Raw genomic sequence first — 25935 nt, forward strand, 5'->3', positions numbered from 1 at the left:
CAGAAATGAAAGTGAGTATCATTACAGATTCTGCTACTACTAAAAGAGTAAAGAAATGTTATTTAGATTTTGCCACTATTAAAAGAAAAAGGGAATGTTATAAACAATTTTATACTAGTAAATTCAACAACTTAGATGAAATCAACTAATTCTTTGAAAGACTAAAACTGCCAAAGTTCATTCAAGCAGAAGTAGGTAACCTAAGTAACCCTATCTATTTTTAAAATCTGAGTTTGTAGTTAAAAAACCCTTTCCACAGAGAAAATTCTAAGCCCAAAAGCCTTCACTGGTAACTTCTACCAAATAATTAAGAAATACCAACCAGGTGAGGTGCCTCACGCCTGTAATCCCAGCACCTTGGGAAGCCAAGGCAGGCGGATCATTTGAGGTCAGGAGAGCAAGACCAGCCCAGCCAACAAGGTGAAACCGCTTCTTTACTAAAAATACAAAAAATCAGCCAGGCATGGTGGTGCACACTGTAATACCAGCTACTCGGGAGGCTGAGGAGGGAGAATCGCTTGAACCTGAGAGGCGGAGGTTGCAGTAAGCCAAGATCGCACCACTGCACTCCAGCCTGGGTGACAGAGCTAGACTCCGTCTCAAAAAAACAACAAAAAAATCCTGTTTTTGCTGGTTTTAAATATTGCTTTTGCCACACTCATCAAAAGTCTTATTGATAAATCAATATATTCAGTCCTCTTATTTGATCTCTCTGCAGCATCTGACTACCACCTAGCAGTCATTCTCTATTCCTTTTTGCAGGTAGTCTTTCCTCCTCTTTTTTCCTGTACCTTGCATGCATCTTATCTACTATTCAAATCTTACCCATTACATTTGTGAAATATCTCTGGAGTCTTTCCATTCCTCCTCTCTACCTTCACTGTCTCAGTTCAGACCCTCAATATCTCTCACCTAAACAACTCTGGTTGCCTCCTGACTGGCCTTTCTGCCTTTGGTTTCACTCTGCTCAAATCCATGCTCCCCATTACTTAGAGTTATCTTTTGAAGAATGCAAACCAGATCAATTCACATTCATGTTCAAATCTTAAATAAGCATTTCTTCAAACCTTCTACTTCGCATAATAACAGTGACCTCAGCTTTTCCTGACTTTCCAGGTTCATCCTCTAGTTTTGTTATATGGTTAAAATTCCTCACTCCCTGCACTTAAAGAACGATCAGCTCCTTGAGTGCAGAGACCAAGTCTCAGTCATCTTATTAAAATCAGTCATTTTAAGTGTCTGGCATTTAGTGAGTGTGATGATTAACTTTACATGTCAACTTCTCTGGGCCACAGTGCCAAATGGTCAAACATTATTCTGAGTGTTTCTGCAAGAGTGTTTTTGGGTGAGATTTACATTTAAAGTGGTGAACTCTGAGTAAAGCAGATCACCCTCCACAATGTGGGTAGTCCTCATCTAATCAGCTGAAGGGCCTGAACAGAACAAAACGCTGACCTCCCTGGGCAAGTGGGAATTTTCCAGTAGACTGTTTTTGGACTGAAATTTCAACTCTTTCCTGAGTCTCCATCCTGTCAGGCTGTCCCATCAGATTTTACACTAGCCAAGCCTCCACAATCACATGGGCCAATTCCTTAATATATATACACAGACAGACACACACATACACACACACACACACACACACACACGTTGATGGTTCTTTTTCTTTGGAGAACCCTGACTTATACAGTGGTTATGCAAAAAATGTTTTTCAAATTAATGAAATTAATTAATGCTGGTTTTTTGTTGTGTTTGCTTTCACTTAATTTACAAATACATGTCTGTGAGGAGATTTATTTTGACATATTTTTATAGATCACTCACCAGTTTTAAGTCAATATAAATGTGTTAAGTTAAAACAACATATATACAATATAAGGACTATAGAAACTGGAACACATGTTAGGTTTCACGTTACAAATACTTTTAAAAGAAGAAAAAGTGTTGACTAGCCAGGTTATAAAAACAGAATTGAAATCTCTAGCAATAATACACAGACAAAGATTTTTTAAAATCATTCAAAAGAATTGCCTAGAAAACAAAAAAGTACATCTAAGTGTCTTTATATATTTTTGTTTCTAATTCTAAACTTTTAAAATGTGTTCCTGTAGAAACTAAAAAAATCTCTGAAACAGAATTCTTGTGTGAGAAGATGGCCTGGTCTAAAGCATATTACTTTTGATAAAAGTAATTAGTAAGCCTGTTTTGTGAATGTTCACATAAATAAAATGTTTGGTAGAAATAATGTCTACATATCCACAGATAACAAAATGATACTTAATACAAAATGGAAATAAGCCAATTTCTGCCAAGTTATCTGCCAAGTTCTGAATTCAGGGTTCTCTGCTTCCCTTGTAACAGATGTAGGTGTTAATGATGTCATTAACTGTTGCAGAAAAAATAGGGGACCATGAACACAGGTCTTGGCAGAAAATAAACAACCTATGAGTTCACCTTTAAATTTAAAGTAAATAGAAAAATTAGTTTATAGAGTGTCTGTCCAATACAGTTCCTGCCCTAAAGGGATAAGTCAGAATTTTTATTTCCAGTGTTTTCAGCTGTATTCCAAAAATAAAGGCTAACAACCTGTGTTCTTAAAAGGCACAAATTAAGACTGTGTCTATATGGCAAAAACAACCAGTCAACAAGTTAAAAATGTTAAATTGGTATTACATAAAATATGTACAACCATACAACAAACTTTTTGTATTTTCTAATCATAAGATTATAAATACTCATTAATATCTCATCTTACTCCATATGTTATTTTGTGCTTGGATCATCTATCTTTGTATTGCCTCAGAAAAGTTAAAATTGACATTTACTTTAATATCAGTTAAGATCAAAATTTATTAATCACTTTGATATTATGACAGATAGGATACATACATGTAAACTTAACTCTTACCTTCTCAAGTTGATCCTGAAGATTAGTGGATGCTTTATAACCAAGTTGTAACAGCATTGCTTCTGCAGCATTTTTTTTGGCTATCTTTTTATTAGGTCCTGTTCCTGTAGCAACTTCATTGCCTACCTTCACCTGATAAGATTAAAGAAATAAATTAAAGAAATACATTTATGATAAATTTAAACAGGAAGTCCTTACATCATAAAGCAATTCTACTCTCTAGCATTTGAAAACATAAAGTTCAGTCCAAAGTAAAAATGGCAACTAAGATAACATTTATGTAATGTTGTATATGTACATGAAAAAATGGTCCTTAAAGTATCAATGGAGGATTATCTCAGGATGGTAGAATTTTATAGAATTTTTACTTCCATATATATTTATATGCTATTTGATTTTTTAAACACTAAATTTATATTATTTATATAAGCAGAAAAATAAAATTTACATTTTAACAGCGTTCATGTTGGTTATGACTACATTTTAGCATTCTTATATTTCAATTAATAAACTGAAAAGGCTAAAATTCATATTGGTGCCATTTAAAATAATGTTCAAATTGCAATATTATGTAAACATTCAAGTTTACAAAGATTTATATTAAATAGTTCCTGAAGAGAATTAATATACAAGTGTTCCTACAACATTATGATTAAAAACAAGGCTTCTGGCCAGGCGCAGTGGCTCACAGCTGTAATCCCACTTTGGGAGGCCAAGGCAGGAGGATCACAAGGTCAGGAGTTTGAGACCAGCCTGGCCAATATGGTGAAACCCCGTCTCTACTAAAAATACAAAAATTAGCCAGGTGTGATGGAACACACCTGTAGTCCTAGCTACTCAGGAGGCTGAGGCAAGAGAATCGCTTGAACCCAGTAAGTAGAGGTTGCAGTGAGCCACGATTGCGCCACTGCACTCCAGCCTGGGGCCACAGAGCAATACTCCATCTTTAAAAAAAAAAAAAAAGGCTTCCAAGTCAGATTGGGATATGAAACTCAACTCTATTATTTCCTAGCTGTACGAACTGGTACAAATTATTTAATATCTCTAAGCCTCAGGTTTTTCATCAGTAAAGCCGGGGTAATACCAACTACTGCACAATGTTGCTTTGAAAATTAAACAAGATAATGTATGTAAACCACAGCATTTAATCCATCACAATTGCTCCAAAAAAAAGATTTTTATCATTAGAACTATTCTACAGTTATCTTCTGTGAGCAATTTATACATGTACTTAAATACACATCAACCATACAACTATAAAAAGTAAAGTAGATAGCAAAAAAGGATAGAATTACAAGGAGAAATAGAAAATACACAACTATAGTTGAATTTCTTTTTACACAGTGGTCTCAGTAAGTGATTGAAGAAGTAGTTAAATAGTTAATCACAACTTTGGAAATTAAACAGTGTAATTCTGGTCAGGTGTGGTGGCTTATACCTGTAATTCCAACACTAGGAGGATTGTTTGAGGCCAGGAGTTTGAGACCCGCCTGGGCAATATAGTGAGACCCCATTTTTACAAAAAAAATTTTAATTAGCTAGGCATGATGGTGCATGGCTGTAGTCCCAGCTACTTGGGAGGCTGAGGTGGGAAGACTGCTTGAGCCCAGGAGTTCAGGGCTGCAGTGAACCGTGATCACATCACCACACTGCACCCTGGGCAACAGAGTAAGACCACATCTCTAAAAAAATTAAAATTAAAAATTAAAAATTTTATAAACAATGTAATTCCAAATTACCTAAGGGCAAAAGAAGAAATTCCAGTGAAAACTAGAAAATATTTTAAATAATCCATGGACATATATCAAAACTTGAAGGACACAGCAAAAGGAGGGTCTAGAAGAAAATGCATAGCCGTTAACAGCTTACAGGAGGGCAAAAAAGTAATGAGCTAAACATCCACCTCAAGAAGTCCCAAACATATCAGCAAAACAAACCCAGAGAAAATAGAAGAATAAAAAGCAAAAAGGAAATACAAAACAAAGTACAATAAAGTTAGAAAAGCCAAAAGTTGGTTCTCTAATAAGACTAATAAAACAATAAACCAAAAGTAAGACTGATCAAGAAAAAAAATACGAGTTCTTCTCTGAGATGGGTATTTTTAAAAAAGAAAAGAAGAAGAGAAGACACAAATAAGAAATGAAATAATTAAAAAGGGAGATTACCATCACTTCTGTAGCATTACAAAATAATAAGGATTACTGAGGCCGGGTGGAGTAGCTCACTACCTGTAATCTCAGCACTTTGGGAGGCCAAGGCAGGTGGATCACTTGAGGTCAGGAGTTGGAGGCCAGGTTGGCCAACATGGTGAAACCCTGTCTTACTAAAAATACAAAAATAAAAAAAAAAAAAAAATTAGCCAGGCATGATGGCAAGTGCCTGTAATCCCAGCTACTTGAAAGGCTGATGCAGGAGAATTGCCTGGACCCAGGAGAAAGAGGCTGCAGTGAGCCGAGATCATGCTACTGCACTCCAGCCTGGGCGATAGAGTGAGTCTCTGTCTCAAAAAAAAAAAAAAAAAAAAAAAAAGGAATACTGAGAGCAATTTCATGCTAAAATTTAAAAACATATTTAGATACAATGGAAAAATTCCTAGACAATACAGATTACCAAATTGCCACAGAATAAGCCTAAAGAATATGACTAAAACTACTAATGAAATCAAACCATAATTAAAAACTTCGCAAAAAGGACTCTTCAGATCTTCTCCATAAAGTTCTACTCAATATTTAAGGAAGAATTATGCTATTCTTTTCATCCAAATTCATCCATAAAACACGAAATGAGAAATCAGTCCCCAATTATTTTATGAGCTCTCATTTTGATTCCAAATCCCAACAAGAACAGTATAAGAAAATTTACAGAACAGTTTCACTCATGAACATAGATGCAAAAGTTTTAAACAGTATAATGAATAAAGCAATATAGAAAAAGAAAAAGATTCATGACAAAGTTAGGTTTATTGCAGGAATGCAAGTTTGGTTTAACATTTGAAATTCAAACTAGAAATCGACATTTATTCATAATGAAAATTATTAGCAAACTAGGAAAAGAAGAAAACTTTTTTTTTTTTTTTTTTTGGGATGGAGTCTCACTCTGTCACCCAGGCTGGAGTGCAGTGGCACAATCTCGGCTCACTGCAACCTCCACCTTCCGGGTTCACGCCATTCTCCTGCCTCAGCCTCCTGAGTAGCTGGAACTATAGGTGCCCGCCACCATGCCCGGCTAATTTTTTGTATTTACAGTACAGATGGGGTTTCACCGTGTTAGCCAGGATGGTTTCGATCTCCTGACCTCGTGATCCGCCCACCTCGGCCTCCCAAAGTGCTGGGATTACAGGTGTGAGCCACCACGCCCAGTAGAAGAAAACCTTTTAAATATGATAAAGGGCATTTTACAAAACACCTACAGCAAACCTCAGGAAACACTGTACTTAATGTTGAACGAAACTAATTAGAAACAAGACAAGGATGTTCCCTATTATTACTACTGTTTAACAGTTTACACAAATCCTAGACAGAGAAATAAGGCAAGGAAAAGTAAAAAAAGAAGCAGAAGGGAAAAGAACTCATTATTTATAGATGTGATTTCATATATAAGGAATCTAAGAAACTCCACAGATGAATTATAAGAATTGATTAGATTGTAATAAGCTCAGTATGAAAAAGAGGACTGCATTTCTACATTCCATCCACATTCAAGTAGAAGATGAAAAATATTAAAAAGATAACATTTACATTAAATGAAAATCAAATACCTATGATGTGCAAATCTTCTACATAGAAAACAAAGTCTTATTGAGAAACTTTAAGAAAAACCTCATAAACAGAGCAAAATGCCATGTTCATGGATTGAAGACAATACTAATGTAATAGTATCAGTTCTCTTCAAATTGACCTAAACTCAATTAATTGAACTCAATGAAAACTCAATCAAAATTCCATATATCTTTTTACAATACTTGAACAAGATGATTCCAAAATTTACATGGAAATGTGAAGTGCTAAGAACAGCCAAAATCCTTTTGAGGAAGAGCAAGGTGTGGGACACTTATTTGTCTGGATATCTAGACTTATTATGAAGTTAATATAAAGAAAAAATTTAAATTTGACTACACTAAAAATTACTCTTGTTCTTCTAAAAGCATTATTTAGAAAGGAAAGTCACAACACAAGAGGAGGTATTTAAAATGCCATATAACTGCAAAGGGCTTGCATCCAGAATATACAGGAGGTTCCCATATATCAGTTTTTTTAAAAAACGAGCAGAAAAATGAGCAAGAAAAGTGGGCAATCCATATCTGAAAAGTTGAATTGTTTTACCAGTTATCATTTTACTTAAAAAAAAGTTAGAAAGTTTCAATAATAGTTTCATGCCACTTTAATACATTTCACAATGACAACAAAATTCAGTTTTCAGCTATACAGCATGATACTCTAACCATACTTTTCTTTTTTGTCTATTGTGTAAAATCATAATATTGGCTGTTTCATCTGTCCCAGAACATACAGATTCCCATTTGGTATCCACACTTGAGTACTGTTCATCATTTATTCTTACATCCTTATTTACAGTTTTTATTTGTGTTATTATTTCCAACAGTACTTTTTTTTTTTTTGAGACGGAGTCTCGCTCTGTCACCCAGGTTCTGGAGTGCAGTGGCGCAAACTCGGCTCACTGCAAGCTCCGCCTCCCGGGTTCATGCCATTCTCCTGCCTCAGCCTCCCGAGTAGCTAGGACTACAGGTGCCCACCACCATGTCCGGCTAATTTTTTTGTATTTTTAGTAGAGACGGGGTTTCACTGTGTTAGCCAGGATAGTCTCGATCTCCTGACCTCGTGATCCACCTGCCTCGGCCTCCCAAAGTGCTGGGATTACAGGCGTGAGCCACCACGCCCAGCCTCCAACAGTACTTTTAAGCTTCAGTGAACCACCCAATTTTAAGGAACTGGGAGAATATACAACAAAATGGTAAGAAAATACAAACTTAAACATAAACAATGTACAAATGATATAAAAAAGGTGCTGTACTCTCTTTTAACAGAGTTTCAGTAAAGACAAACTAAATGACAGTTCATACAGCACATGAAACGCTGAAAACATATTCATTACAGAATTTCTGTAACAACTATCACAAATTGCATAGTTTAAACCTGTGAAATATTTTTTAAATATTTCATTGCCTTTTTTTCTGAAACTGGAAACCACTATGTCGTGACAAATCAGAAGCAGTCTTTGGACCTCACTCTGAGAAGGACAAATCTAGTACAGTCAGACCAGGTACTCAGAGCCAGATGAATACACACCACCTGCCGTAACAGTGTCTGCCTCAACATGGCAGGCCCTATGGATAATCTACTCAAATCCCTGGCTAGAGTACCTCTGCTCCCTGTTATTTTTTCCAATGCTTTGTTTGTTCCCCCAGCTTCATCAGTCCCTATGTTGCTGCTGGAATCCTTGCTGGTGAAAAGATTAGGCCAGTTATGTCAGAAGCTTCCTCTACTGCTCTGAGGCCTGGTCTTGGACTTGTCAGCTGTAATGCTGTTCCCATTCCTGTATTCACCTTGTCTCTCCGTCTGCTAGATTTCCATCTGGCCTATTCTGATACCTTCAAGACTTACTTCTTCTAAAACAAGTGCTTCCCAGATTCATTTACCCATTCACCCAGCCCTTGCCTCATGCAAATTTTAATAATCGCATGGTTGAATAGTTTGTAAGCAGTTATCCTAATTTGTTAATATAAAAAGACCACATTGCCAAAGGACTTTCATTCCCTGCTAATAAACACAATGGTCACTCAAAACATCACTTTATTATAAAAGTTAAGTAAGTTTATAAATTTCACAAGTCATCTTCCTTGAGAAGTCACAAATTTTATAACTATTGTAAATATGGTCTCTACATTTAAATGTTAATTTCTATCTGTAAAGAAGCTCAATTATTTTACCATGCAGTAAATTTAAGACTGCCAAATGTTTGTCTTTAAATTTAACAGCTCATTCACATGAATCAAATCCTCAAAAACCTAAGAAACTAAAAAGTTCTGAAATAGGATTTACCAAAAACTTAATTTTTATTTATTTTTTAACAACCTGGTGATCTCAATCACAGGCTGAAAAGTTAGTAATACAGTGTGCTGATATGCAATTTGGTTTAGTTATCATTATTTTCTGTTTGAAAGATTAAAATACTCCTCACCAAAAAAATGAAAAGCTTTAAGAAATCTGCTCTGGAATAAAATACCCAAATAATGTCATCGGAGATTTTCTTTCGTTTATCTAGTAATCAACATAAGTAACTGCATCCATTTTTTAATATATAGACTTTTTCTTTGGTAACAGATAAAAATGAGCATCTCATCTCTAGATATTTTGCTGCCACATTCAATTATAACAAATGATAACATTGCCTAAGTAGTTTATACAAAGGCCGTTACTTTGATAAAATTGCTGCAATACTGTAATGAATCCACTGGGGCTTCCAGAAGGGGAAAAAACAATATGAATTCAGTGCGAAAACATTTAAAAGCACAGCCAAATGTCCCCATTTGACTAGAATGTTTATGAATACCCATAAAATGGAAGCTGGCCTAAGATATGCTAAATTCCTCTTTCAAAAGGGGTACTCAATATACTCTGTAGAAAAGGATTTGTTTAATAAAGCCAAAGCCAGTTTATATTCCCAATACATGTCTAAAATTCAGGCGATTTTTTTCTTCAAGCTTTGGCATTCAAAGTATATGTTCCAGAATTCTTCAAAGTTAAGAATGTTAAGGAAAAAAATAGTGAACATATTTTACCAGTGAAAATAATGAAACAATCATGTGCTGGATCCTAATAACATCTTGACAATAATGTGATTACTAACCAGAGAATTCCCCTCTTTTTGGATATCTGGGTTCCCAGGAGTGACTTATCTATGACTACATTATAAGTTAACATCTCCAAAAAAAAACCATACAGGCAGAAAGGCAGGCAGCAAATATCTATCAAATGTTTATTAAGGTCCTACTATTTACAAACCACTGTATTGGGTACTGAAAGATAAAGAAACATGGAGATTATAAATTGGGAGGGAAGGCACAACTTAGCTATACACTTAAACTTAATCAATATGAGACACTGTATTTGAGTGCCAAAATGTCTACCACATGGTCAGCACTTAATATTTGTTGATTTTATCTAAGTTACATAAAATGTGAGATCCTTGGATTTGACTAAAAAGTTTCTGTGACTAACCAATTATTTAAAAAACAGTTTGAGACTAAGCACAGTGGCTCACGCCTGTAATCCTAACACTTTGAGAGGCTGAAGCAGGAGGATCACTTGAAGCCAGGAGTTTAAGACTAGCCTGGGCTACATAGTAAGATCCTGTTGCTATAAACAACAACAATAAAACAACATTTAATTAGCTGGCCATGGTAGTGTATGCGTGTAATCCTAGGCTACTCAGGAGGCTGAAAAGGGAGGATCTCTTGAGCCCAGGAAATCAAGGCTGCAGTGAGCCATGATCATGCCACCGTACTCCAGCCTGGCTGACAGAACAAGACCCTGTTGCCCCACCAAAAAAAAAAAAAAACAAAAAATTAAAAAACAGCTTGGGGAAAATAATAATTTAAATATAGACTGGGTATTAGATGATTCTAATGAATCATGTCTAATGTAAGAAAAGCTTTCATATTTCTTAGAAACATACACTGAATATGTAAGGCTGAAATGACATGTAGTTAGAAATTATCTTTGAAATACTTCAGTAAAAGAAGAGAGAAAGGAAGAAAGAGAGGGAGAAGAGAAAAATTAATAGCTGAATCAAGTGTGGCAAAAATCTTAATAACTGTTGTGTTTGAGTGATGGGCATATTAATGGTCCATTATTATTCTCTCCCCACCTTTGGATATGTTTGAAATTGTAATAAAAAAGTAAAAGAAAAATTTCTTAAGACTGGAGTTTGAGCTGGCAAATGAAGATGAATAGGTAGGGGTTGAAAAGGAGAGCATTTTAGGCATTCTACTTCATTCCTAGCCCATCTGCCAATACACTAGCAGCCATTCCTTGATTTTCTTGGCTCCACAATGCAGCAGTCAGATCTCAGCAATCCTGAGTGCCTCAGCCCCCACCATGGTTAGCTAGCCTGCTTACTCTCTTTTTCTAACTTTCCTGACAGCCCACAAGCTCAGGATTTTGGCCCTGATCCATCTACTACATCCATCCTTCTAAATTTTGTTTCTAATTCCATGTGTCTCCAATTCCCAGTAGTTAACAGACTCCGGCTACAAAATGTAACACAAAAAGTTAAAAGATAGGCATTAAATGATAAACTCCATGGTAAATAACCTGTGTGAACTCAGAGTCCCTTGGAAAACTCATGTTGTCTATTGTAACATGTCCTTGACACTTGAATGTTTCCACCAAGTTGGTAGGTGAGCCTGGACAGAATGAATGCTTTAACTGGAAACAGTTTTACTTTCTGCTCTTAAGTCCTAGTTTGCCTTTCGCCCAAATGCCTATTCCATCCTGGGGATTTCTAAATCTTTTCAATAGTTTTAAAAGGTTAGAAATACCTGCATCACAAATTCTCGACGTCGAGGCATTCCTCTTTCTGAAAGCAAAACATAATCCGGCTCCTTTTCCTTTTTGGCCTGTTGAATTTGCGCCAGGCGGCTAATAGGGTTCATCCCTTGGCCATATTCTGGTCCGGCCTAAAAATTAATTTAAGAAAAAGTTTTAAAATATGCTTGTGAAACCTGTTATTGAATCCTTAAAGAAACAGTGCTTCTTCCCTCCACCCCCACACCCCAAAACTGTGACTAGAAAAGATAAATGAGTCATTTATGAATATTTATAAAGGAAAATCATAAAATAGACCTGTAACCAAGGCTTCTATGGGACTTGGGGCTTAGATGTATTAATGGCAAGGTGTCAACTATGCTTTTTAAATTGGGCACACTCTTCAGTATACCAGAGGTGCTTCACAACTTCTGTTCATCAAGAAACATCAAAAAGAACAGAAGAAGACCAACCATGAACTGGGAGGAGATCTCTGCAACACATTATCATTTTATTTTATTTTATTTATTTTTTTGAGACAGAGTTTCATTCTGTCGCCCAGGCTGGAGTGTGGTAGTGCAATTTCAGCTCACCACAAACTCCACCTGCCGGGTTCAAGCGATTCTCGTGCCTCAGCCTCCCAAATAGCTGGAACTACAGGCGCGCCCACACCATGCCCAGCTAATTTTTATATTTTTAGTAGAGATGGGGTTTCATCATGTTGGCCAACCTGATCTTGAACTCCTGACCTCAGGTGATCCCACTGGCCTTGGCCTCCCAAAGTGCTGGGATTACAGGTGTGAGCCGCAGCACCCGGCCACAACACACATAATTTTAAAAAGACGTATCCGGTATCCAAAATATATTTTTTAAGACCCCTAAAAAGTACTAAGAAAAAGAGAATATAAAAGGGAAATGGGCAAAAGAGATAAATACTTCACATAAGGAAAAACTCAATATATGAAATGATAACTAACCTCTAGGACACAGAAAATACATATTAAAAACCTCAGTGAGTTACTATTTCACATCCACCAAATTAGCAAAAATTAAGAAGTCTAACAGCCCCAAGTGGTGAGAATGGGGAGTAACAGAAACTCTTATAAAACACTGGGAGTACTATAAATCGGAAAACAACCTGGCAATGTCTAGTAAAGCCTGAGATGGTACATCCTACCCCAATTAGCCTATTCCTAGGCACATATAAACCCTAGAAAACCGTAACCCATGCACAGTAGCTCATATGTACAGGAATATCCACAGATGCATTATTTGAAATAGGAAAAAAAAACTAGAATATTCATCAATAAAAGAACAGATAAATTACAGCATGTTCATATAATGGAATGGTATATAGCAGTGAAAATGAATTAATTATTGCTACATGCATCAAGATGAATGATTTTCAGAAAGAATAGTAAGTAAAAAAGGCAAGCTACAGAATAATATATATATAGTATATTTTATGTAAAGCCTGCTAAAACTACAAAATACTGCTGAAATTAAGATCTAAATAGTCAATACATCATGTTCATCGATCAGAAGACTCAACAATAAGATGTCAATTCTCCTCAAAATCCCAGTAGGCTTTTTTCCTTTTTTTTTTTTTTTTTTTTTGGCAGAGTCTCACTCTGTTGCCCAGGCTGGAGTGCAGTGGCATGATCTCAGCTAACAGCAACCTCTGTATCCTGGGTTCAAGCGATTCTCTTGCCTAAGCTTCCTGAGTAGCTGGGACTACAGGCGCACGCCACCATGCCTGGTTAATCTCTGTATTTTTCATAGAGACAGGGTTTCACCATGTTGGCCAGGCTGGTCTCAAACTCGTGACCTCAAGTGATCCTTCCACCTCGGCCTCCCAAAGTGCTCAGATTACGGGCATGAGCCACCGCACCTGGCCCCCAGTTGGCTTTTTAAAATTTAATGTGTAAGCTGATACTAAAATTCATATGGAAATGCAAAGGACAAAGAACCAAAATTTTGGGGGAAAAAAAAAGACTCAGACTACCTAATTTCAAGATTATAAAACTATGGCATTCAAGACAGTGTGTGTAGTATTGGTATAAAGACAGACAAAGGGACCAATGAAACAGAATAAGTGCCCAGACACAGATATATATACACACATACACATACACACACACACACACACACACACACACACACACATACACACACACACACACACACACACACACACACACACACACGGTCACATGATTTTCAACAAAGGCACAAAAGGAATTCAGTGGGGTAGTCTTTTCAGCCAATAGTGTTGGGACAATTGGCTATTCATATGTAAAAAGAAAAAGAAAAAGAAAAAAAAATCTTCAAGCCAAACCTCATAACATTTATAAAAATAATTAACTCAAAATGCCTCACAGACGTAAATGTAATTTCTAAAACTATAAGATTTCCAGAAGAAAAATTTTTGTAACTTGGTTAGGTAACAATTTCTTAGATATAACACCAAAATCACGTTCCATGTAAAAAAACTAATAATAATAAAATGAAACAATATAAATAATAATAAAATAAACATAATAAATCTTCAAAATTAATAACTTCTGCTCTTTGAAAAAGACAAGTCACAGACTTGAAGAAAATATTTGCAAAGTACATATGTAATAAAGCACCTGTATCCAGAGTATATAAAGACCTCTAAAAATTCAATAATAAATTTATTATTATTTGAAATAAGCAATTAAAATTTGTTAAGCTGGCAAAAAATTTAAATAAACACTTCATCAGGCCTCATGTGACAGTAAACACATAAAAAATTCTTGATATCATCTGCCACAGAGGAAATGTAAATTAAAACCAAAATGAGATATCAATACCCATCTACATGAACATCTGAAATTTTAAAAACTATGCTAGGTGTTAGCAAGGATGTGAAACAATTGGAGTTATCACACACTGCTGATGAGAATGTAAAAGTGCACAGCTGCTACAACTTTGAAAAACTAAAGTTGACTATATACCTACTAAATGACCAAGCCATTCCACTTTGAAGGATTTACCCAAGAGAAATGAAAGCATATGCTCTTAAGATACACACACAAATATTCATAGCTGCTTTATGAGTAACAATCAAAAATTAGAAACAGCCCAAATATCCACTGACAGGTGAATGGATAAACAAGTGGTGGTATATCAATTCAATGAAATATTACCTGCAAAAAAACAGAACTACCAATTCATGCATGCAACAATAAGGATGAATCTCAAAATAATTATGCTGGGTTAAAGAAGCCAGCCAAAAAAAAGAGTGGTTTCTCGGCAAATTAAGGTAGAAGATTACAAAGGGGCATAAGGAAAATTCTGGGAGGAATGGATGGGTTCATTATCTTGATGGTGGTTATAGTTTTACACATGCAAACAAATACGAAAACATATCAAACAGTGCACTTTAAACATGTACAAGTCACTCTATGTCAATTATACCTCAATAAAGTTGTTTAAAGGAACTAAACAAATAACTTTAGAAAAACAAACATAGTAAAACTATAAGGTAGGAAATGGTCATACAAAACTAGTGATAGAGGTTGCCTAGGGAAGGTTGCATGAGGACGTGATGGAAGAAGAGCATACAGAGAGCTTCAAAGCTTATTGAGAAATGTTTTATACTCAAGTTGGGCAGTAGGTCTTTCTCACACTTACTTAGTATGCTTTTTAACTTATACACAAGTTTATATATAGCTTTTTGTATGTATTATAACATAAAAGCAAAAATTCAGGCCGGGCGTGATGGCTCATGCCTGTAATCTCAGCACTTTGGGAGGCCGAGGCGGGCAGATCACCTGAGGTCGGGAGTTCGAGACCAGCCTAACCAACACAGAGAAACCCCATCTCTACTAAAAAAAAACATACAAAAAATTAGCCGGGCATGGTGGCACATGTCTGTAATCCCAGCTACTAGGGAGGCTGAGGCAGGAGAATCACTTTAACCTGGGAGGAGGAGGTTGCGGTGAGCCAAGATCACACCATTGCACTCCAGCCTGGGCAACAAGAGCGAAACTCCGTCTCAAAAAAAAAAAAAAAAGCAAAAATTCTTGGAAACCAAATTATCTTTCTGCATATGAACTTTCTTCATGTATTTTTCCTAGAAATAAAAGTCTGCGTATATCATACGGTCAAAACTTTATTTCCACCTATGAAAATTTATTCTTGTCTCTACTATCTGTAGAGACATGGAGACATGGATAATCACTCTGTTACAGATTACACGTTACACTAAACTTATGTAAGAGCCACTATGCAGTCTTAGCTCTTCCGGATGATTGCTGCCATTTCATCTTGACAATCTGTAGTTTGGTGCTCCAGGTACAGCATCCAGGCAGATCCCTCATGGTCTTTCAAACTATGTTTAGGATTTTGGACTTTATCCAAAGAGTAAGAAAATTACTAAGAGGTTTTAAGCAGAGGCATGATATGATTAGACAGGTGTCTCTAAAAGATCATACTTTTTAAACGATCATTTGGTGTCAAGAGTACTTGTAGCCAGTTAAAACCTTAACTGTAGTAGTTCAGGTTAATAGATGTCTGTGAGTTGGACAAAAGAGTGGCAGAAGGGATGGAAAAAAAGGAACCAACTTAAAAAACATTAGGTGACAAGGCCAAGCACAGTGGCTCACTCCTGTAATCCCAGCACTTTGAGAGGCCAAGGCAGGGCGGATCACAAGGTCAGGAGTTCGAGACCAGCCTGACCAACATGGTGAAAGCCCGTCTCTACTAAAAAAACAAAAATTAGCCACGCGTGGTGGCGCACGCCTGTAATCCCAGCTACTCAGGAGGCTGAGGAAGGCAGGAGAATTGCTTGAACCCAGGAGGCGGAGGTTACAGTGAGCCAAGATCATGCCACTGCACTCCAGCTTGGGTGACAGAGCAAGACTCCGTCCCATAAAAAAAAAAAAAGAAAAAGAAAAAAAAGAAATATTAGCTAACAGAGTAATAGGACTTAATGACTGATAGGACGTAAGGGGTAAGAGAGAAGTTAAACGTCGGGCGCAGTGGCTCACGCCTGTAATCCCAGCACTTTGGGAGGCTGAGGTGGGTGGATCACAAGGTCAGGAGTTCAAGACCAGCCTGGCCGACATGGTGAAACCCCATCTCTACTAAAAATACAAAAATTAGTCGGGCATGGTGGTGGGCACCTGTAATCCCAGCTGAGGCATGAGAATCGCTTGAACCCAGGAGGCAGAGGTTGCAGTGAGCCGAGACAGTGCCATTGCACTCCAGCCTGGGCAACAAGAGCAAAACTCCATCTTCAAAAAAAAAGAGAAGTTAAAAATGACCCCCAGCAGTTTCAGCAGCTGGATGTTTGTGCCAGTCACTGAGATAAAGAATGCTGCAGGAGAAAGAGGTTTAGAAGGGAAAATGATGAATTTGGGCCCAAAACTTGAGGCACCTGTGAAATACTAAGTGGGGATGTCTAATAGGTAGTGCAGAGCATACGGTATTCAGGAATCATCTATTTAAAGATGAAATTGAACCCCCAGAAGTAGAAGAACAGCTTAGGGAAAGAGGAGGAAAAAGACTGAGAACTTCACTGTTGCAATGGTTAGATGAAGGGAAAGGAAAGAGCAAAGGAAACTTTTAGCTTTTGATAAAATACTGGTTTCAACTTCCACTTATATCCTGAAAAAAAAAATTAAATAAAGGGCCGGGCGCGGTGGCTCATGTCTGTAATTCCAGCACTTTGGGAGGCCGAGGCAGGTGGAACATGAGGTCAGGAGATCAAGACCAGCCTGGCCAACATGGTTAAACACTGTCTCTACTAAAAATACAAAAAAATTAGCTGAGCATGGTGGTGTGCACCTGTAATCCCAGCTACTCGGGAGGCTGAGGCAGGAGAATCGATTGAACCCAGGAGGTGGAGGTTGCAGTGAGCCGAGATCATGCCATTGCACTCCAGCCTGGCAACAGAGCGAGACCCTGTCTCAATTAAAAAAAAATTAAATTAATTATAAGGGGAATGAAGAGGGACTGATGAGAAAAGACAAATCCACATAATAATTTATAAGTCTAAGATTGAAATCCCAATGAAAAGGTAAAGAGAAGCTCTGAGTCTAGCACTAGAAGTAGTATGCCCAGTTCATGAAGATGTTAAATAAGTAGGAATGTGTTTCCAGTGGCATACTGTCTTTATTTCTGTTTAATTTGACTCAAAGAATGTCTCTGAGTTCCAAGGAAATTATTGTTGATATAGATTGCAATGAAAAGAATCAGATACATAAATCCAATTTAGATAATGATGGAGTTCAGTGTACATTAAGAATTGCTTGGGGCTGGGCACAGTGGCTCATGCCTTTAATCGCAGCACTTTGGGAGGCCAAGGTAGGCAGATCACTTGAGCCCAGGAGTTTGAGACCTGCCTGCACAACGTTGCAAAACCCTGTCTCTACAAAAAATACAAAAAATTAGCTGTGCATGGTGGTGTTGTGCCTGTAGTCCCAACTACTTGGGAGGTGGGAGGATCACTCGAGACCAGAAAAATCAAAGCTGCAGTGAGCTGAGATCCTACCATTGCACTCCAGCCTGGGCAACAAGTGAGACCCTGTTTAAAAAAAAAAAAAACAACTCTGGGTGGCAAAGGCAGGCAGATCACTTTAGGTCAGGAGTTCAAGACCAGCCTGGCCAACACAGTGAAACCCCATCTCTACCAAAAAATACCAAAATTAGCTAGGTATGGTGGCACATGCCTAGTCCCAGCTACTCTGGAGGTTGACATGGGAGAATCGTTTGAACCCAGGAGGCAGAAGTTGCAGCCAGCCAAGATCATGGTGCCACTGCACTCCAGCTTGGGAGACAGAGTTAGACCCCGTCTCAAAAAAAAAAAAAAAAAAAAGGCAGCGGGGGAGGGGATGACTTGGTTTCTTGCTCTGATTGAAATGAACTACCAGCACCCTTGACAATTAAGTTATTCCTTGGACAGCAAATCTTAAATCATCATTCTATATACCAATAAGGACAGTCTTGTAATAATTGTGTCCAGAACATTTGATCTCTAAGATTAGAAAGCCTTCTTTGTAGTCTCGTCTTATAGAGGAGAATTACATTTAAAAACAGAATGTAAACACAAAGACATTATCAGGGCAGTTTTACATGTTAACAGGATAACCCTATACAGTGACTCTGAAAATCCAAAAGTTCACAATTAACCAATATCAAATGGGCACTGGAGTCAGATGTGACAACTGGATCTGAAAGCTGATTCTGCTACAGGATCTTGGATAGGTTTCTTAAATATAAAGGGCCTCATCTGTAAGATGGAAATGAATGCTGCATCACAGAGTGATTAAGTGATCAAATGAGACAATGTGATTATTTTATTACTTTAAATAAAACCAAGGCAAATAATCATAGATATTTTACCTGCTTCCATTGAGTGTAACAAACTATAGACCCTCAATGTATAAGCCATACAAGGAAGTGAGGAATATGCTAAAAATCAGGATACTATTCCAAGCTGATCCATTTACTGACATATTATAAGGTATGAACATACTTAAAATTATCTAGATTCCAACTCATTATACACATGTTGTTCTCTCAAAATAATCTTACATTTCAGAGGGTATCTACAAGCTTTATTTTAACATAAGACAGACATGGCAAAAGTAACTCCAAGTGTGATGTATATGAGGAAAAATGCAGGAGGCTAACCTAGTCTGGGAGTAGGAGAGGACCAGAGGAGTTCCTAAAAAAGTCAAGTTTATGCTGAGATCTGAATGATGCATAGGAGGGAAGTTCTGGGATAATATTACTTATATACTGGAAGCAGTAGCAAATAACTGAGAATTCAAAATGTTTCTCCTGTCTCCCACCTCTGGGGAATAACATTTAAATAATAATCTTGCTTTTAATAGCTATAGTTAAAACAAGAGTTAGATTTATATCCTACTATAGAAATGTACAGATCTTTTCCAGCCTAACAGTTTATTATGATGATTATTATTATGATTATTATTATTATTATCATTTTGAGATGGAATCTCATTCTGTCACCAAGGCTGGAGTGCAGTGGCAGTGATCTTGGCTCACCTCAACCTCTGCCTCCTAGGTTCAAGCGATTCTCATGCCTCAGCCTCCTGAGCTGTAGCTGGGATTAGAGACGCATGCCACCACAACCGACTAATTTTTGTATTTTTAGTAGAGACCAAGTTTCGCCATGTTGGCCATGCTGGTCTCGAACTCCTAGCCTCAAATGATCCACCCGCCTCAGCCTCCCAAAAGTGCTGGGATTACAGGCATGAGCCACCGTGCCCAGCCTGGTTTGCCTGGTTTATTATTCTTAATTTATCAAGATAAAACTTAGTTTAATAGAGCAGACAGAAGTTATGTGACCAGTTTTGTGCCACCATTCCAACATAAAATGCTGTTCCTCCATCACAGAAAAGCCATAGATTTTATATATTAATAGATTTAAGAAAACAGTTCATGGATATATTCACATAAACATAAAATGTGAATAGGTAGTATTAGATACAAAATACCAATAGTTAATATGTGTTATTTATTATAGTATTTGCATTATCATTAATAACAATGAATACTTAATAATTACTAATGCATTTTGTGCATTGTTTCAGTTAATACTTATAACAATCCCATACAGCAAGGTCAGTTACTATTCCCACTTTATAAATGAAGAAATATTTTTAAAGTTAGGTAACTTGCTCAGGCCACAGGGATTCATACTCAGAACTGACTCCAAAGTTCATTCTCTTAATAGCTATATTCTACTCCTGACTGTGTAGGAGGAGCATATGAATGAAAGTGCCAGTCCTCTTTGGAACCACTATGACTCATGATAAGTGGATCTATTTGTATTTATTTTTAGTCTACCTTACATATAACATATAATTCCAGTTCAGGGAATGCATTACCTACTACATCTTCTAAGTGAAGTCATGTCAGTATTCATTAAAAACAAATATTTAAGTAGTTATTTTTGTATATATGTATATATGTATTTTAAATAAAGGTACAAAGGTATAAAACCTGTAAAAATACCTAAATTGTGCCATTGTGCAATCAAAAGAAATCCATTGAGATTAAATATATTTCTTATCTGTAATCCTTCATTTGTATAGCCTGATCAGAAGAAGGCTGCTAAATCAGTGAGGCTGAGCCAGCAACTAAAATGCTGGCAATTTAAGGCTTTCTCTGGAAACACAGAACTCTAGCTCCAGACATGTCATACGTGTCAAGCATTCACAGGCACTGTCCTGTACTAAATGCTGATTCATCTCATTCCTCTGATATTTACCTTGCTTCTCTTATTAATGTAAATAAATTCTGACCCAATAAAAGAGTCACAATATCTTGAAAAGCTGTGTGCTCTATATTCTTCTTTGGCAAGGTATACACATCTGAACGAATGGCAACAAAATAACACCATCTACTTCATATGGTTGCTATGTGGATTAAATGTGATTAAAGCATGCAAAGTGTTGGGACAAAGTCTGGCACATAGACTGCTTTATGATTTCCAGCTGCTGTAGCTATCATTGTTAGTATTAGTCACATGATTTTTTTGTGTGTATCCTGTTACCATTTCATGATATCCTAAGAAGTTACTATGCAACAGCCATGTGTGCAGAAAGAACACTGGATTAGAGATCAGAGCGGTTCAGGAGGTTTGACATGATTGCTGAATAAAAATGGGCAAACTCTTTGAACACGTTTTGTAAAATCTTATTTGTAAAATGAGGGCTAACATCATCTACCTTATACGGTCATGAGGGGGATTATAGTAAAGGTGACATGAATGGTAAAGCACTTTTTAAACAACAAAGAAATACATAAATACCTAAGGTATTATGATTATTTGATGTACAAATGCAGGTGCACAGGTATTTAAAAAGCAAAATAGAATTGTCATTAATTTATAGTCACATGTCCTGCCCTCATTTCAGGACTGTATATAGTCCATAAGTTCAGGGATCTGCCTTATAGAAAAATGCTTATCTATAGCTACTATAATATTTATTTAGTAAAACTGACTGATGTTCACAAATATAAACTTACCTTTACTATTGTTTTAGGGCGTTTTTTAAAAAATAGTTTTGGCTTTTCCACCACAGGAAGAGGTGGAAGTTTTTTAAGCTCCTGTAAGACGGTGGTCGCAGCGCGCTTCTTGGAGAGTTTTTTGCTATTTCCTTCTCCTTCTGCAGAGAACTCTCCTACTGACACTCGAGTAACAAAGCTTTTCATATGTGGTGGTCCACTTTCTTTAATAACCTATTAAATACAAGTAAAATATTAAATAATGGATAGGCACTTGAGATGTATTCTTAAAGTATGACTTAATATTCATATCAAAACCAAAATTAGTATTATGCCAAAATTATAGTATTTCTTTAAGAAAGCTATTATGAAGGTATTATACTGGGACTATTTATGACACTTGATGCTTAATGCAATTGAAACAAAAGAAATCTAAATAAACACATTTGATTCATAGTCAAAATGATTTATTACTTTAAAACAGATCATTCTAATTACAGTTTCTCCATGTCTTATGGAACACAAATTTAAGAACATCAAAGATACCATTAGATTAGATACCATATTAGATTGGTCATCTAGAATGATAATTTGTATATAATTACATACCTAACTTCCTCCTATGTACGAGTAAGTTGCTGGAGAAACGAGTAGTTCTATAAACCACAAGGCACTGTGCCTGTGGAAGCCTCTCAAAAACAGTCAATGGATAAAAATAAGCTGTTTTTGATAGGGATGTCAAAAGCTGTTTTACAGAAAGGGATATTTATTCTTGTGACACGATTTTAAAAAGGTAAGTAGGTATGCCAAAAAAATTCCTAGCTTTCTAGAGTAATGAGTTATGGACCTGTCAACTATGAATGTAATGTTCCTAAACCTTGTTTAATCTGCAATACTAAATATTTAACCTTTAATTGTTCACATTAGATCATCATTATAAACATCAGATATCCTACATCATAATATATTGATGTTCCCAAGAACACCTAAGAATAATAAAACTGTCTGTTCTTACTCATTGTAGCCTTTAAAAAAAATCCCAATAATTTTTTAGTATAAGCAATTACTTTTTACAGGTTTTCCAAATTTTCCGTATCATTTCTTGCTGGACCAATAGGATCTCAAGTACATTCTCTCCCTGACTTCCTCATTTTGCTGCTTTTAACAAGCTGTGGACCGAGAACTGAGATAATGCAACTTGTAAGAATGTGTCCAAGAGAAAGCAAACAGTTTCTCAGTCCAACTCAGATGATCCTGCCAATGAGTAAGATGTGGGAGCTTTCTAGTAGGTGAATGTCATACAATGTGAGGGAAGAATCTCCACAACTCTTTCAGCTTATTTCCTGGTTCTTGTCTACTTTCCAGACATGAGTTGTAAAATTAGTGACCTCTTAATAAAAGAAGTATTATAATAATTATTTTTTTAAGTTTTCTTTTTTGAAATTTCATACAATTTTATGAATATATTTGCAATATATTTATCTAGCTGTTAAGTCAAGAGTTGCTTCATTACATCTTACTTCTTGGTGATTTTGTTAGTTGAGGTTAAAGTGAAACATATTTTGGCCTCCACACAATTGAAAAAAAAATTGGATATTAACATGTATGTCACTAAATCTTAACTTGAATAAATTTAATTTAATCCTATTTAAAATGCCAAATCTTATAGGATACCACAAATTATCTATACCCAGAAAATAACTTTTATAATAAAAATTGAAATACCATGTATACAAAAGGCTTAATACAGAAAAGAAAAAAATCAGAAGGAATCTGTGTTATCATCATGATTTCTATTTTCACCAGGGCCTAGATCATTTCATAATACTGGGTTTGAACATATAGAAGCACACTAACTCTTGCAGGATACTAATACACCAGTTAATTTGATTTGTTTGTTTAAAATAACCACAGCAAGGGAAAAAATGGGAAGATCTCTACCGAGTACATACCTCAAAACTGACAGGCATATTTCGCTTCAGAGCAATTTCAAACACTAAGCTGATCTCAGACTTATTTGCATCTTTGTCATCATCCACATCCTTTCCTGATTCACCATTCTAAATCACAAAAAATAGGATAACACTGAATCTTGACATTATAACAAACTTTACTTTTATTCTACAGTCAAGATGGCCTATTTAAATTACAAGAAGAAACAACAAACTATATAGACTGTATCTGCTGCATTCTCCTGTAACCACAGCGGTCAAGGGCTTTGCTGCCAGGCTTTTTGTTACTCGATTTTTAGCTTGTTTTCCTTGAAGGAAAAGCATTTAATGCAGACTTTGGAAATCTTTTACTCAACCATACACTAATTTGAGTTTAGCCTACATCCCTAAACCTGGCACTCTTGTTTTAGAGTTCTCTACCCACCCAACCCCCAACACCCAGGAATTCCCCCACTGGTGTTCTAATGTGATCTATGAGGATGAAGTTACAGAAAGAGTACAGGATGCAAACCAGGAGCATCCTAATTGGAGATCTATGTCTGGCACAGGCATTGGTTTACTTTATTCACTTATTTAACACATACTTCTGGAAGGCCTCATATATGCTGAACTTACTATAACTATTAGAAAGAGACAGTATTCCTTGCTGTCAAGAACTGGGAGAGAATGATCTAGTGGGAAAACAGATCAAGAAATAGATAGGAGCTCTCATGAAAGAGTACAAGCAGAAAAACACCTAAGTCTGCCATTAAGATAAATATCAAAGGAGAAAGAAACAATTGGTTTGGGGAAAGGAAAACTGTAGAGGTTGAACTGTAGGGTAAGTAAGAAGCTCACTATGCTGCCGGGCATGGTGGCTCACGCCTGTAATCCCAGCATTTTAGGAGGCCGAGGCAGGCAAATCACGAGGTCAAGAGATCGAGAACATCCTGGTTAACACAGTGAAACCCCATCTCTGCTAAAAATACAAAAAATTAGCTGGGCGTGGTAGCATGAGCCTATGGTCCCAGCTACTCAAGAGGCTGAGGCAGGAGAATCGCTTGAACCCGGGAGGCAGAGGTTGCAGTGAGCTGAGATCCTGCCACTGCATTCCAGCCTGGGCAACAGAGCGAGGCTCCATCTCAAAAAAAAAAGGAAGCTCACTATGCTATGTATAGGACATGCCTGAGCTAGAGATACTATTTTGAAGTCAATCAAGAAAGTAGCTGAAGCCATGAGAATGAGTGAGATTACTTAAGAACAGCCTCAATGTCATTTGTAAAACAAAAGAGGACTGAAAAATCCATAAAATCTCTTCCACTTTAAATCCTTGATTCTAGATTCACACAATGTAATCTATATTCAATAAACATAGTATGAAATATAAGCCAAATCAATGTTATTTCTCATCCTCATATACATCCCCAAATCCCCAGTTGCCTGGGAAGTGAACTCAAGGGAAGAACCAAAGCTCTGAAAGGTAGTCACCCTGCAGGAACACATGAAGCAAGACTGTCAGGTCTTCACTCTAGTATTCTTCCCTATCAGAACAGATTATTTATTTTAATTATAAAATGCTCTGATTTGTTTCACTGGGAAAGTAGAAAGAACAGACTGTCACATGCAGCAGCACCACACCTGAGGAGATCTTTCTGGAATAGGTTCATTCTGCAGTGCTTGGAGGGCTTTCATTGCAGCATTGTGTCTAGCAGCTTGTCGAGTCTTTCCTTCCCCAAAAAATTCATTATTTCCTACAGTGAGCTGAACATAAAAGATCTTAGGCACTGGGCAATGATACCTAAAATAAGAAAATAAAAACATTAAAGTTAGCTTAATAAAACCACTCTATAATCATTCATAAGATTTGTTTAAAATGATACCAATTATATAATGTGCTATACTCTTAATAAAACTTTAACCTCAAAAACATACTTTTTTGATAAAATGTGAGTCAATACATCTATAGATAATAGCTTATACTGATCTCCATGAAAAACATATATAGAATACAACATTAAACATAAAACAATACAGTAAAAATTATTTAATTATATCACAGGATACTTCCTGGTGAGAAGTTTTCGGTCAGATTTTGACAGAAGTAAGAGAACAGTCTGATGAAGCTACAACAGAGGCTGGGTCAGGCAAGACTGTTCAGGCGACAACATGTAGATTACCGTGCTTTTTGCAGAAGATAATTACGATTAGAAATATAGATTAGAAATGGACCGACTACAATGCAAAGTAATAAGGAGAGCAGATTCAGCATAAGAATAAGGAGTTTAGGCCAGTTCTTAAGCAGGAAGTGTTATATTCATACATTTTACGGTGCCTGAGGTAATGAGGCTAATGAGGTGTGACTAAAAAGCTGCAATAATGCAGATATGAAGAGATAACAGAGAATGTAAGAAGAAACAAAAAAACCAAAAGAAATTAAGCAGAAAAAATTAAGATATGTAATAAAATCCATTAATTCAACAATTATTTATGGAGCGTCTTCTATTTGACAGGGGACTATGACAATGAACAACAACACTTA

At 36.5% G+C, this 25935-nt stretch overlaps 1 protein-coding gene across 7 annotated transcripts in view; it reads right to left on the reverse strand.

The window, feature by feature from the left end:
- STAU2 (staufen double-stranded RNA binding protein 2) overlaps positions 1-25935 on the reverse strand; it is a 327112-nt gene that overhangs the window by 171889 nt on the left and 129288 nt on the right. For all 7 annotated transcript variants that reach the window (NM_001164383.2, NM_001164382.2, NM_001164381.2 and 4 more), the window contains 5 exons: positions 25035-25194; positions 23418-23525; positions 21487-21699; positions 11469-11606; positions 2909-3040 (listed from right to left, as the gene is read on the reverse strand). In NM_001164383.2, the coding sequence (NP_001157855.1) occupies positions 2909-3040; positions 11469-11606; positions 21487-21699; positions 23418-23525; positions 25035-25088 (645 nt within the window). In that variant the 5' untranslated portion in view covers positions 25089-25194. The remainder of the gene's footprint in view (positions 1-2908; positions 3041-11468; positions 11607-21486; positions 21700-23417; positions 23526-25034; positions 25195-25935) is intronic.

This window comes from Homo sapiens, chromosome 8 (assembly GCF_000001405.40).
Source record: "Homo sapiens chromosome 8, GRCh38.p14 Primary Assembly".
Classification (NCBI taxonomy): Eukaryota; Metazoa; Chordata; class Mammalia; order Primates; family Hominidae; genus Homo; species Homo sapiens.